The sequence below is a fragment of the Homo sapiens genome, chromosome 17 (assembly GCF_000001405.40).
Source record: "Homo sapiens chromosome 17, GRCh38.p14 Primary Assembly".
NCBI classification, from domain to species: Eukaryota; Metazoa; Chordata; class Mammalia; order Primates; family Hominidae; genus Homo; species Homo sapiens.
The window spans coordinates 7579430-7591229 of record NC_000017.11 but is presented as its reverse complement, the minus strand read 5'-3'; the positions used below and the strand labels follow the sequence as shown (position 1 = coordinate 7591229).

Genomic DNA, 11800 nt, shown 5'->3' with positions numbered 1-11800 from the left:
TGTCTGGCTCCTGTGCCTTCTTTGTCCCCAGTTTGGTCCATTTGTTTCTCTAGGACTGACCTGCCCTGGCCCCTGGCTCTTGTTTTCTGTTCCTCCACATCTGACTTCTCTTCATTGTCTCTTGTCCCAAAGATGGTCTTACTTCTGGGAATTCCTGACATTCCTAAACTCCCCAGGCCCAGGTTCTCCCTCCTGGTTCAGAGGAGGGGGGCTTGTGCCTTGTTGCTTCTCCCCTCCCCCAAGTTTGCTGGTAGAGGGAGTTGGGCCACTCCTATACCCTGAGTCACAGCACAGGCTAGGCAGGGCTGCTCAGAGCTGGAGCTGTTCCTGTAGAAGCTGAGAGCCAAGGCAGGCTGCTTAATCCGATTACCTGAGGCCTGGGGCTTGGGCTGGGCCGTTGGGCAGAGTGGGGAGCAGGGTTCCCTCACAGCAGCCTCTGGAGCCCGGGGTCCGGCCTTCTTGGTGGTGTTCTGTTCTGGCTCCAGGCTTTTTCTCCGGCATGCGCATCACAGACCTCTTAACTTGGGGAGTTGTCCTGGGTTTCCTGGCTCCCCCCTCATGACTTGGACGACTGAAGCTAAAACTTGCCATAATTCAATAGCAGTGGAGAAATATAGGTTTAGGGACTGGAGTTGGGAGGGCTTAAGTTTTCTCACTTGGGAAAGGGGTTGAATCACGGCCCAAGCACCTGCTGGAATGACTCAGGAAACAAAAATGGTCTCCCTCCTCGGCCTTTCTTGCCCCAGGGGCAGTTCTGGGATTTGAGGAGCAACAGGCACCAGGAAAGGGGTTGGGGTGGTGGTCCGGGATGCTCCCAAGCTCCTCTCAGCACAACTCGGGCCCTGAGGGCACTTCATCCCCCTGTGTTTGATCCCATTGTGGAAAGAATTGGCTTTAAATTGCCTGTGCTTCAGGGAGGGGAGGCAATCAGCAACGGGCTGGAAGGCCTGACATCAGGTCTTGGGTGGGGGGGGCGGGGGGCGTGGCACCCTGAGGGTGTTGGGGGCTGGGACAAACAGGACACCTGGGTTTACCTACGGGCTGAGGATGTTGGCGCCCTTAAGGAGGTGCAGTCTTATGGGAGGGACAGGGGCGGAGTCAGTCTTTAAAAGCTGTTCCCAGGTCTGGCCCGCCTGCCACAAACGCTGAGCCCAGGTGGGAGAGGTCTGGCCTATCCGCGCCTGGCAGCTGTCGGAACTCCGGAGACCACAAAGGGGTTTATGGTTTACCCCCTCCACGGAAGGTCGGTCTGATCGCAGCTGCGGGTCGGGGAGAGGGACCGGGGGTCCCCCAGTCAGTAGGCCTCAGAACACCTCTTCAGTGCCGGGGCACCAGACAGCGGATTTTGCATTCGACTCTCCCCAAAGTGTGCCGAACAGGTTGGAAGCAAAGGCTCCGGTTTAAGCTCTGGGCTTGGGGATAAAATACACTTTTTAAGGACCCAAGTTCCTCGGCAACGACTCCAGACTGGGAAGACCTTTCCATTTTCAGGATCGACGCTTCACGTTGAGGGGAGGGCATTCAGGACGCCCTCTTAAGGCTTCTCCCAACCCATGGCGCTACCAGGCTCCTCACAGGACCAGGCCTGGAGCCTGGAGCCTCCGGCTGCCACGGCTGCTGCCTCCTCATCTTCGGGACCCCAGGAGCGGGAGGGCGCTGGGAGCCCCGCGGCCCCCGGGACGCTGCCCCTGGAGAAGGTGAAGCGGCCGATGAACGCGTTCATGGTGTGGAGCTCCGCTCAGCGCCGCCAGATGGCGCAGCAGAACCCCAAGATGCACAACTCCGAGATCTCCAAGCGCCTGGGCGCGCAGTGGAAGCTGCTGGACGAGGACGAGAAGCGGCCCTTCGTGGAGGAGGCCAAGCGGCTCCGCGCCCGACACCTGCGCGACTACCCCGACTACAAGTACCGGCCTCGGCGCAAGGCCAAGAGCTCGGGCGCCGGACCTTCCCGCTGCGGACAGGGAAGAGGCAACCTGGCCAGCGGCGGCCCGCTCTGGGGGCCGGGGTACGCGACCACCCAACCGAGCAGAGGCTTTGGGTACAGACCCCCCAGCTACTCGACAGCCTACCTGCCTGGCAGCTATGGGTGAGTGCCTGGGAAGCGGGCCGAAGACGGAGGCCCATGCGCCCCTCTTCTGGAGCCTTGGTGGGGGCGGATGCCGGAGGACGGGAGCCCACCCAAGCAGAGGCCACTCGCGGCCAAGGTGTGGCGGGCGCAGGCCCAGTACCTCCGGGGCCTGTGTAGGGTGGGGCGGATCAGGGTTCTCCCAGAGGGCGTTTCCATCTCAGTCTGAAGGTGGTGGGCCCTGTAGGGTCAGGTGACTGACCCCTGGATGCGACTGTGTCCTAGTTAGATGCCCCGTTTCCCCCCTGCTTCTGGCCTGTGTGTGACCCAGCTTCCTCTCCCAGCCCCCAGGGCAAGGAGAGGCCGAGCTCATTCTGCCCTTTCCTGGCCTGACTCCCCAAGAGGAAAACAGCCGTGCAGCACGCAAGCCCGCTCCCGAGCGTGCCCCAACAGGGCCGCGGGCTCTCCATCCCGGGGTCGGCTTCCATGCCTGCTGCGCCCAGCGGGCTGGGTAGCCAGGGCTGGGTGGGTGGCACGCTCTACCCTGTCTGCCCAGAACTGGCCAGACTCACCTCCAACCCAGGGAAGTGCCCTCTAACCTCTTGTTTCTCTCTGCAGCTCTTCCCACTGCAAACTGGAAGCCCCCTCACCGTGCTCCCTCCCTCAGAGTGACCCTAGGCTCCAGGGGGAACTGCTGCCCACCTATACCCACTACCTGCCCCCTGGCTCTCCCACTCCATACAACCCTCCCCTTGCTGGTGCCCCCATGCCCCTAACCCACCTCTAACCCTCATGGACGCAGACCTCACGGGACGGGCCTCATCCTCCTTTTTTAATCCAGCAGCATCCCCTACCCCAGGCTGTCAACCCTTTCTCCTGTTGGACTACAGTTCAGAGGCAGCCTGCAGTCCTCCCATGATAGCCAGGGAGAGCCGCACAACATACAATTATATTTTTGGTAGTATTAAACAGTTTTGTATTATTCAACTGAGTCTCCAGTCTTTATTGTCCCATCTGTTCCCCTCACTGCAGCAGGAACCAGCCCCATCTCCACTCCCTTCCGCCTAGACCTGCCAGAGCAGGAACCTCCTCACCCCACCCTGGGGCCCTGCCTGAGTCATTCTCCGTCCCCCTTCCCCCACCCCAGCACTGGGGTCCGGGAGACAGTCCCAGCCGGGCTGAGGGAGGGAGGCAGCCACAGCCTCCCAGTCCCTCCACTCTGCCGTCCAGACTCAGTCTTCCAGGGCCAGAAGGGAAGCAGGGAGGCTGGAGGACAGGGTAAAACATTTGCCCAGGATAGTGTTACACAGCTGGAAATTGCTGCTAGAGGAGGAGGCTTGGCTGAATGACTGAATTAATAGTACATGTACAGGGCTTACGAAAGCACTCAAATGTCAAAATTTTGGCTTGGGAGACTCTACCCCCATCCTCTCCTTTTCTAAGGATCTGGATCCATCAACCATTTGTTTCCACTAAAAGAAAACCCTGGCTCAGAAAGTCTGCAAGTGCAGAGGAATGGAGGATGAGTAAGTCACACCAGCAGGCTGGCTCAGATGGGGAGAACCCTGAGGTTGGGTGAATGAGTGGAAACGGAATGACTCCAGTAGCTGGCTCTACTGCGCCTTTTTCTGCTTGTGGGGAGGCTTTGCATTCCAGTAGAAGAGCAGCTGGGCGGCGATGAGGCCGTTGCAGAGAGAGGAGACCACAAAGGTCCCAGCCATCAGGGGATCTCCGGTTTCCTGGTTGCAAGAGACAGAGCCAGGGTTACCCTTCAGCATAGCTCAAGAAAGGTTCCCTTATGGACAAAGGTTCCTCACGGGGCAGCTTTGGCCCTTAGCTGGGAGAAGTAAGACGAGGTTTTAGTGCCTTCTAGAAGGAAGATGTTGCACTCACCTGAATGGAAGTGAAGATTCGGGCCAGGGAGCCCCCAAACAGCAGGAAGACTGTGATGGCTGAGAGCTGGCCTGTGTGCCCGTTGTGGTAGTTGGTGGCTGCCTGGAGAAGCTAGGGGAGGAGTTGAGACCTTTGGCTCTGTCACCTGAGCTCTTCCCATGCTCCCCCAAGTACAACACCCCCACACTTTGATCTTCTACTCTTCCCCCCCACCCTGCCCCCACAACATCTTGTCCCTTGCTCCTGGTACCCACCCTCCCCACCACCACAGCAGGCACATTGGAGGCCTGGAGCAGGGTGACTACAGTCAAGGGCGTCAGAGGTGAGAGAAGCACCAGCAGGACCAGGCCGTAGCAAGCGAGGAAAGCGACACCTAGGGGTGGGGAGACAGGAGTCCTTGTCAATCTCTCCACATCATTTGGCTTTCCCAGACCTGAGTTCCCAGCAGGGTTCCCAGGAACCACACAGCCTGCTCTTGGGTAAGTCCCCAGCACCTTTCACAGTCTGTCCTCTGTAGTGCATGACCAGGAAGCAGATGGTGATCGTCTGGAGCATCAGGAATAAGGCTTCACCCCAAGAGCTGCAGAGTCAAGAGTTGGGAGGAAGAAAGGCGGGCCTAGAAAGAGGCAGGGAAAGCCTCCATAGCCCATCCATCCAGGGACACTATGCTCTGATCACGCTTCTCTACAGCCCCCACACGGGACTGGCTCATTCTGAATCGTGGCCATTCTCGGGATGCTCACCCCTTCTCAAGATCACCTCCACTGGTGATGATTAGGTTTCTAAAAGGGCTTAAAACTTTCCTAGCCCCTTGTCCCTTTTTTTTTTTTTTAAGACTGAGTTTCGCTCTTGTTGCCCAGGCTGGAGTGCAGTGGCGCAATCTTGGCTCACTGCAACCTCTGCCTCCCAGGTTCAAGTGATTCTCCTGCCTCAGCCTCCCAAGTAGCTGGGATTACAGGTGCCCATCACCACACCCAGCTAATTTTGTATTTTTAGTAGAGACGGGGTTTCACCATGTTGGCCAGTTCGAACTCCTGACCTCAGGTGATCCACCCGCCTCGGCCTCCCAAAGTGCTGGGGTTACAGGTGCAAGCCACTGGGCCCGGCCACTTTGCTGCCTTGTAACCTCCTTCACCTTAATCCCCATTAGAGTTGTGGGTATTACCCTTGGGGTGGAAGGGTGGGCCCCTCACCTGAATGGGAAGTTGTTAGTGATGCTGTAGACCATGGTCCCAGTCAATGCCACTAGCTCCAGCATTACAGACTGGAGACTCAACCCTTCAGCACTCTTGGCTCCCAGGATTTTAAACACCTGGGGCAGCTTTACTAGGGGAAAGATGAGAAAAGTAGGACTGAGGACTCTCCATTCTTTGGGATGCAACACAACAGCTATAGAACGAACACCCACACAGTTGATGGCCTCTCAGCACCTCCACCCCAACCCAACAGCTGGAAAGAAAGATAAGAGACATACCTAGAAGTGAGCCAGCCACAATGCCCAGCCCCAGGCCTTTGCTGAGGAGAATCTTGAGGCAGGGGACTGAGGAGAGAAAAAAGGGTAAGCAGACAGGAGATGTCTGAAACCCAGGCCAGGGCTTGAAGCTCCTGTGGGCTCTCCCCGAGCCCCCTTACCCACACCAGGGTCTTGCATTGTCTTGGGGGGAGGAGAGGCGGAGGGCAGTGAGAAAGTCCTGGTCCTTCCTGCTCCAAACCACCACACTTTTTTTTTTTTTTGGAGACAGAGTCTTGCTCTGTCACCCAGGCTGGAGTGCAGTGGCCCAATCTCAGCCCACTGCAGCCTCTGCCTCTTGGGTTCAAGCAATTCTCTTGTCTCAGCCTCCCAAGTAGCTAGAATTACAGGCACACACCACCATGCCCGGTTAATTTTTGTGTTTTTAGTAGAGACAGGGTTTCACCATGTTGGCCAGGCTGGTCTCGAACTCCTGACCTCAGATGATCCACCTGCCTCAGCCTCCTTAAAGTGCTGGGATTATAAGCTCGAGCTACCGCACCGGGCCCCAGACTGTTACTTTCCAAAACAGCTTTTCTCCGATGCCTACCACCCCCCACATCCAATCTTCCATTCCCTATAAATTAACACCCAAACTTGGCTTGACCTCCACGGCTCTCCATTGCTTCCCCATATAAAGCTGAGAAATGCCCAAGAGCTCTCTGATCCTTTATTTCCCTTCTCTGGGCCAATGGGTGCCCCATTTCACATGTCTTCTCTCTCCAAAGACAAGTCTTCATACCATTTTTTTTTTCTTATTTTAATTTTGAGACGGAGTTTCACTCTTGTTGCCCAGGCTGGAGTGCAATGGCACGATCTTGGCTCACTGTAACCTCTGTCTCCCGGGTTTAAGCGATTCTCCTGCCTCAGCCTCCCGAGTAGCTGGGATTACAGGCGCCTGCCACAACGCCCGGCTAATTTTTTGTATTTTTAGTAGAGGCGGGGTTTCGCCCTATTGGCCAGGCTGGTCTCGAACGCCTGACCTCAGGTGATCCACCCGCTTCGGCCTCCCAAAGTGCTGGGATTACAGGCGTGAGCCACCGTGCCCGCCCCATACCACTCTTTCTTGAACACTCTGACTGTCCCTGGCCCCTACTCAGGGACTAAACCTTACCCTTTCAAGGCTTGCTTTTATGCCCTGGCCATCCACAACTTCTCTAGCCTTGAAGCCTTCCCCTCAAGGAACTTGGTCTAGTGGGAGTCTGACTCTCACGGGTCATGAATGCGGCTAAAACAAAGTGCCCCACGAGCTCAAGAGAGGTACCATGAACTGACAGGGGCAGACTGACGCTCCCCAAACGGTCTGACGGTGACCCTTGTGGAGCTGTCTCGCAATCAGAAAAAGGAAGGGAGGCAAATTATTCCGAAATCAGACTATGAGCAAACCTGGAGGCTGGAAAGAAAGCAATCAGGGTGGCGGAGCCTTTGGGGGTGCAATGAAGGCCCGATTCATCAGGGGCTTTGAATTAAGTTTAACCCTGCTAGCGATCTAATAAAGGTTGGCATGATTTGACTTAATTTTTATTTTGTTTTATAAAAGTTGACTCTTCGTTTTTCATTGTCGCTACAGCACAAACTCCACAAAGAAGTAATTCCACCCGGTGACTTCCCCACTGGCACTAATATGGTGTCCTCCCTCTAAGGAGCCCGAGACACTTCCGCCCTTCTCAGAAGTGACTTCCGTCCAGCTCGGCATGGCGGCAGTCACTGCCGTCACTTAGTCGCCGATCAAGGCTTGGACTAAGGGCCCACGGTCACTCGAGTAGGACTTGGATCGGATGCTGAATAAAACTCACCGTGAAGCAAGTCCCACTGAACGAAAAGTTGGTCGTAGCATTTCTCAGGTAAAAGAATCGGCACGAGCAGCCGTTTAAGCGGTCCGTCCGCCTCGGCCGCCATATTGCAAAGCTAGCTTCCGCCAGTCTCTCCAGACCGCCATTGACTTTCGTTGCGCGTGCGCGCTGCGGACACTCCGCCTCCCGTTCTTTTCCCGCGGCGAAGCTGGCCCGCCCCGTGCCCCGCTCTTTCTGACGCTACCCACCCTCACTCTAGTGGCGTAAAATAAGTCTCAGTCAGGGACCACGTTTTGGACGCGCTGTTGGAATTGTAAAGCTTGCCGAAGCTGCACGCCTGCGCGGTTAGACCTCCCACGCCTTTGTTGACGCTTCCAGTTTGGAAGCCAGATTTACACCCCTGCCTTTCTCCGCTCCTCCTGCTGGGCGCCATCTTGTCTTCTCCTAGCACACTTTGTATTGTTCGAAGTTGAGAGAGAAGGAGCCGGAGTCTCCGAGGTGGCGTTGGGTGGGGGCGCTACTAGCTCCCGTTCTCTCAGCGTCTCTAGAGGGAAGGGCGCCGGTGGGAGCAGGAGAGTCTGCACCGGGCAGGCCTCCTTAGGTGCCGGGTTGCGCGCAGGGCCCTGTGCTTGTCTCGCCTCCGGTTGGCTCAGGCCTCGGAGCATGAGTGCGCCGGCAACTGCTGGGCCCGGGACAGTGAAGCAGAGGAGGAGGTGGGGGAGGCGAGCCCAGGTCGGGGAAGGGCAGCACCTGAATCACCCTTGGGGCCCAGACCCCCAAGAGTCTCCGGGGAGCCGAGGCCTGGCGAGGCAGTCCCGGGATTCGCCCCCTCCCCGCTGGCCCGAGGGCGCACCACGTGCTGGGCAGAGACTTCGGCGAGGCCGAGTGGACCCTGCAGCGCTGCTTGGGAAAGGGCACCTTGGACTACCTGGTGGGGGCGTTGTGCTTCGTTACCGACCGCCGGGACGCCAACCCACGGTGCCCACCCGTGCGTCATTCCGCTGTGGATCAGCCCTTTGGCGGCCCCCCTCCAAAGTCTACAAGGTCACACGGATGTCTGCAGGCAGAGGTGGGGCTGCTGGGGCCCTGCCAGGTGAGGGCTGCCCTTGTGGGGCAGTCTCTGGGCCTTGGAGGCCGGAAGCCTCCTGGGGCTCCTACGGCTGGGGGGTGCTGCTCATCCTGGCTCCCAGGGATTGCGCCGTAGCCAGCTGTAATGGGTGGGACTGGCGCTCACTGCTGGTGCAGGCTGTGGCCATCTGGGAGGTCCTTTCTGGAATCTGGACCTTGGCTGTCCTGAGAGTGACACTCCTCATCTCAAGTACTGGGGGCATGAAGTTAGGCTTGGCAGGTGGCCCCGTGTGGGGGGCATGCTGTTCCCAGGAGCCCCCAGTGGAGGTCAGAGTACCCACTGCTCCTTCTTGATTCAACCCCTTGTAGGTGGGATAGGAGCATGCCAGGTGCTGCGAGGGTTTAATCGGGCTCTTCTGCTGGCCTTGAATATGGTGGACAGGACAGGACATTCTCATTGCTCAGGAGCCACTGGCGCTGCCTTTGGGAATGAAGTTCCACAGCCCCCCACTCATTGCTTTGGCTGTCTGCTGCATTTGAAACTGTACGAGGGTCAGGAAGAAGGCTGCGGGGATGAATGGCTCTACCGGCTTGCCACGGATGGGGAACTGGAGCAGCCAGTGGCCCCAAGAGGAGGAAGGAAGGGAGGCACGGCAGACCCAACACCAGCTGTGCCAGGCTTTGGGGGGTGAACCCATGAGGCATCGTCACACACTGACATTTTCATCCCTCCTCAGCAGCTGCTTCCGGCTCCCTGAGACCCAGCCATGGAAGGCATAGAAAGGCATGTGACAAGAAACTCATGGCTTTTAATCCTGGCAGGACAAGGAAAACCCCGTCAAAGATTTGCATAAATTTTGCTGCTCTCCTGCTGGGGGGGGGGGGGGGGCAGTTCGTCACATTTAATAAAATTCTCTCCCTCCCTTCTCCCGACTGCATTATCTCATATTTATTTATTTGAGACAGTCTGGCTCTGTCGCCCAGGCTGGAGTGCAGTGGCGCGATCTTGGCTTAGTGGCGCGATGACGGCTCACTGCAACCTCCACCTCCTGGGTTCAAGCAGTTCTGCCTCAGCCTCCCAAGTAGCTGGGATTACAGGCCAGCTGGGATTACGCCGCCACACCTGGCTAATTGTATTTTTAGTAGAGACAGGGTTTCACCATGTTGGCCAGGCTGGTCTCAAACTCCTGACCTCCAGTGATCCACCTGCCTCAGCCTCCCAAAGTGCTGGGATTACAGGCATGAGCCGTCATGCCCGGCTTTCTTTTTGTTCTTCAAGAAAGGGAAGGAAAATAACATTGTCTTTGAGCCAGTTGCGTGTCGAGGAAATAAGGGTACCCCCCCACCACACCCCAACCCCCTCAGTGCCCTGGGGTTTGAAGCAAATGCTCAGAGGGCCTGGTAGGCGGATGGGCGTCTCCGGATGATGCAGAAAGCAATAAGCACCAGGGCGAGGAGGCCAAGAAGGATCAGGCCGATGATGAGAGGCAGCAAGATGGACCGGTCACTGGGGCAGGAGAAACCTGGCGGAAGGATAGGGCAGGTAGGTATTTGCAGTGACGTGCTGGTTGGGATAAAGGTGGGAGGAGGGAATGGGGGGATGCTGGGGAGTAGGAGATTGGTGAGGAGCTCACCGCAGTGACTCAGCAGTGATAAAAGGGGGAAACTGGCAGAGTCTTGTAGAGGATGGAAAGAAAGCTGCCCTGTAGCCATGACAAGCTGGGAGAGCGAGATTTGGGGGGTTAAGAAGAGAGATGAGTGGCTTATGGGCCTGGGGAAGGGGTTTTCAGTGCAGTGGGAGGATTCTAGGAGGGAAGGAGTAGGTAGGTCTTACTTTGCCCAAAGACCCCTGTGTGGGGCAGCTGAGCAGCCTGGAGCCTCAGGGAGAGCAGGTCGAGGTGGACAGCTGGTGAAAGAATGATGCTCGAGTTGCTGCAACTGAAGCTCTGCCCCAGGGGTGCTTGGAGATCTCGAAGGGATGCATTCTGAGCCGAGAATGTCCACTCTGGAGGAGTGAGGAAGGGTCAGATCCTATCCACCTCCCTGGCCCCAGCTTAGTCCTTTCAGGAACCCTGGCGTCTAGTGGTAGCAATGAGAAAGGGAAGGAGGTTACTTACGTGCTGCGTGGGGGAAGGACACATTGTACTCCACCGCCATGTAGCTCAGGTAGACAACCTTCTGCTGGAGGTCCTGTGGGGCGAAGAGGAAGGCGCAGGTGGTATCCCTCTCCACAGAGGAAGGAGTAGCGTGTGGGATTGGGAGGGGAGGGGCGCCGGGAGGCTGAGTGAGGGGTGAGACTGAGGTCATGGCTATACCTGCATGAATCCAAAGCTGAGGTGTCCATAGGGGAATGAGAGAAGCAGGTGGGGATGGGCACCCTCACAGCTTCCCTGGACCTTGGTTTTGTTGGGGTTCAGTACAGAGATGCCCCAGGCCTGCGGAAGTTAAAGACTGGAAGGTCACAAGACTGCATGCGATGCCGGCCAAGGTTCCCTGTCCCCTCTTCCTTCTTCCCTCTGAGCCTATATCCAGTCCTGCCTCCCTCCCCTCTCATCCCCCAGTTTTAGCTTTACCTCTCCTCCACCCTGGGTTGTGTACATGACTCGAATCTGAATCTGGGCTTGGAGGTGGACACAGGGCTGGGAACCATTGGTCCACGTGTAGTCTCCAATGGTCTCCTTGGAGGTTGGGCTAGGACTCGGAGAGGGTGGAGGTGGTTCTGGGTGGGCAGAACTGGTGAATCCTGGGCTGGTGGCAGTGCTGTTGCTTGTTGGATGAACCGTGGCATTTCCATGACTAGTGGTGGCAGGACTGTGAGTGGCAGTTGAGGGTCCCTGGCTGGTGGCAGTGCTATTGCTTGTTGGATGAACTGTGACGTTTCCATGGCTGGTGGTGGTGGGGTTGTGAGTGGCAGTCGTGGGTCCGTGGCTGGTGGTGCCTGTGGTGGTTGTCCTGTGAGTGGTGGTTTTGTGGCTCTTGGTAGTCCTGTGGCTGGTTGTTCCAGTGCTCTCTGTAACCGTGGGTGTCACCGTGAAGGATGGCAGCAAAGTAGCTGATTTTTTGTGAGGACAGTCATTCCCTGTCCCCTGGGCTTTTGGCAGAGAGGAGATGGTTAGCAACCCAGGGCAGGCTCCCTCCCAGGGGCCCCCTCCCCTCAGCCTCCTTCCTCCTTACCTGCCAGTAGCCCCAGCAGGGCCCCCGAGAAAAGCACAGCCAGCCTCATGGCTGAACCGCCTCACCCAAAGTCCAGCTAGGCTGTCTGCACCAGTTGCTCAACCCTGCTCCCTCAGCCCTCTCTTGGAAAGGAGGAAATGAAAGTCTCACTTCCTGTACTGGAGATGATCCCACCCACAGCCTGACTCAGGGGCCTCAGCTCTAGCCACCTCTCTCTTAGTCATTAGTTTTTGTAATTAAGTTAGGGGACTGTTGGCCCTGCTTCATCAGGGCAAAGTCAACAGTGTCACATGGGTG

At 57.2% G+C, this 11800-nt stretch overlaps 3 protein-coding genes and 1 long non-coding RNA gene across 12 annotated transcripts, besides 9 other annotated features; 2 read left to right on the top strand and 2 right to left on the bottom strand.

Annotated features, from left to right (window-relative positions):
* SOX15 (SRY-box transcription factor 15) lies at window positions 1136–3052 on the top strand. The gene is made up of 2 exons (NM_006942.2): window positions 1136–2086; window positions 2684–3052. The coding sequence occupies exons 1-2, from the start codon at window positions 1554–1556 to the stop codon at window positions 2850–2852; spliced, it is 702 nt and encodes a 233-aa protein (NP_008873.1). The 5' UTR covers window positions 1136–1553; the 3' UTR covers window positions 2853–3052.
* Window positions 1418–1992: an enhancer, noted in NCBI's record as "H3K27ac-H3K4me1 hESC enhancer chr17:7492556-7493130 (GRCh37/hg19 assembly coordinates)". NCBI's record gives its function as "activates a minimal SCP1, AML or CMV promoter by ChIP-STARR-seq in naive H9 embryonic stem cells {active_cell/tissue: H9 hESC(naive)}" and the evidence as "EXISTENCE:reporter gene assay evidence [ECO:0000049][PMID:30033119]".
* MPDU1 (mannose-P-dolichol utilization defect 1) lies at window positions 3018–7583 on the bottom strand. Of its 5 annotated transcripts, none has more exons than NR_024603.1 (7): window positions 7265–7583; window positions 5433–5498; window positions 5152–5279; window positions 4453–4538; window positions 4213–4331; window positions 3959–4069; window positions 3018–3804 (listed from the first exon to the last, which is right to left on the bottom strand). NR_024603.1 is itself a non-coding variant. In NM_004870.4 (7 exons), exons 1-7 carry the CDS (start codon window positions 7365–7367, stop codon window positions 3679–3681), a joined length of 744 nt encoding a protein of 247 aa, NP_004861.2. In that variant the 5' UTR covers window positions 7368–7378; the 3' UTR covers window positions 3018–3678. The 5 variants fall into 5 exon arrangements, 4 of the variants coding, with proteins under 4 accessions (NP_004861.2, NP_001317002.1, XP_006721661.1 ...); NM_004870.4 differs by having other exon boundaries at window positions 5152–5284; window positions 7265–7378; NM_001330073.1 differs by lacking the exon at window positions 4213–4331 and having other exon boundaries at window positions 4392–4538; window positions 5152–5284.
* Window positions 5933–6805: an enhancer, noted in NCBI's record as "NANOG-H3K27ac-H3K4me1 hESC enhancer chr17:7487743-7488615 (GRCh37/hg19 assembly coordinates)". NCBI's record gives its function as "activates a minimal SCP1, AML or CMV promoter by ChIP-STARR-seq in naive H9 embryonic stem cells {active_cell/tissue: H9 hESC(naive)}" and the evidence as "EXISTENCE:reporter gene assay evidence [ECO:0000049][PMID:30033119]".
* Window positions 6806–7680: an enhancer, noted in NCBI's record as "NANOG-H3K27ac-H3K4me1 hESC enhancer chr17:7486868-7487742 (GRCh37/hg19 assembly coordinates)". NCBI's record gives its function as "activates a minimal SCP1, AML or CMV promoter by ChIP-STARR-seq in primed H9 embryonic stem cells {active_cell/tissue: H9 hESC(primed)}" and the evidence as "EXISTENCE:reporter gene assay evidence [ECO:0000049][PMID:30033119]".
* Window positions 7040–7569: an enhancer, noted in NCBI's record as "active region_11637". NCBI's record gives its function as "activates an Ori minimal core promoter by ATAC-STARR-seq in GM12878 lymphoblastoid cells {active_cell/tissue: GM12878}" and the evidence as "EXISTENCE:reporter gene assay evidence [ECO:0000049][PMID:35858748]".
* On the top strand, window positions 7138–9263 carry MPDU1-AS1 (MPDU1 antisense RNA 1). 4 transcript variants are annotated; one of them, NR_136402.2, is made up of 2 exons: window positions 7138–7312; window positions 9067–9256. It is a non-coding gene; the product is annotated as an MPDU1 antisense RNA 1 (long non-coding RNA). The 4 variants fall into 4 exon arrangements; NR_136401.2 differs by having other exon boundaries at window positions 8699–9256; NR_170996.1 differs by lacking the exon at window positions 7138–7312 and adding an exon at window positions 7658–8330 and having other exon boundaries at window positions 8699–9256.
* Window positions 7680–7729: an enhancer, noted in NCBI's record as "active region_11636". NCBI's record gives its function as "activates an Ori minimal core promoter by ATAC-STARR-seq in GM12878 lymphoblastoid cells {active_cell/tissue: GM12878}" and the evidence as "EXISTENCE:reporter gene assay evidence [ECO:0000049][PMID:35858748]".
* Window positions 7680–8554: a biological region, named in NCBI's record as "NANOG-H3K27ac-H3K4me1 hESC enhancer GRCh37_chr17:7485994-7486867".
* Window positions 7681–8554: an enhancer, noted in NCBI's record as "NANOG-H3K27ac-H3K4me1 hESC enhancer chr17:7485994-7486867 (GRCh37/hg19 assembly coordinates)". NCBI's record gives its function as "activates a minimal SCP1, AML or CMV promoter by ChIP-STARR-seq in primed H9 embryonic stem cells {active_cell/tissue: H9 hESC(primed)}" and the evidence as "EXISTENCE:reporter gene assay evidence [ECO:0000049][PMID:30033119]".
* On the bottom strand, window positions 9119–11592 carry CD68 (CD68 molecule). Of its 2 annotated transcripts, none has more exons than NM_001251.3 (6): window positions 11504–11592; window positions 10903–11420; window positions 10645–10764; window positions 10447–10519; window positions 10164–10334; window positions 9119–9852 (listed from the first exon to the last, which is right to left on the bottom strand). In NM_001251.3, the coding sequence occupies exons 1-6, from the start codon at window positions 11550–11552 to the stop codon at window positions 9719–9721; spliced, it is 1065 nt and encodes a 354-aa protein (NP_001242.2). In that variant the 5' UTR covers window positions 11553–11592; the 3' UTR covers window positions 9119–9718. The 2 variants fall into 2 exon arrangements, with proteins under 2 accessions (NP_001242.2, NP_001035148.1); NM_001040059.2 differs by having other exon boundaries at window positions 10903–11339.
* Window positions 10698–10767: an enhancer, noted in NCBI's record as "active region_11635". NCBI's record gives its function as "activates an Ori minimal core promoter by ATAC-STARR-seq in GM12878 lymphoblastoid cells {active_cell/tissue: GM12878}" and the evidence as "EXISTENCE:reporter gene assay evidence [ECO:0000049][PMID:35858748]".
* Window positions 10868–10927: an enhancer, noted in NCBI's record as "active region_11634". NCBI's record gives its function as "activates an Ori minimal core promoter by ATAC-STARR-seq in GM12878 lymphoblastoid cells {active_cell/tissue: GM12878}" and the evidence as "EXISTENCE:reporter gene assay evidence [ECO:0000049][PMID:35858748]".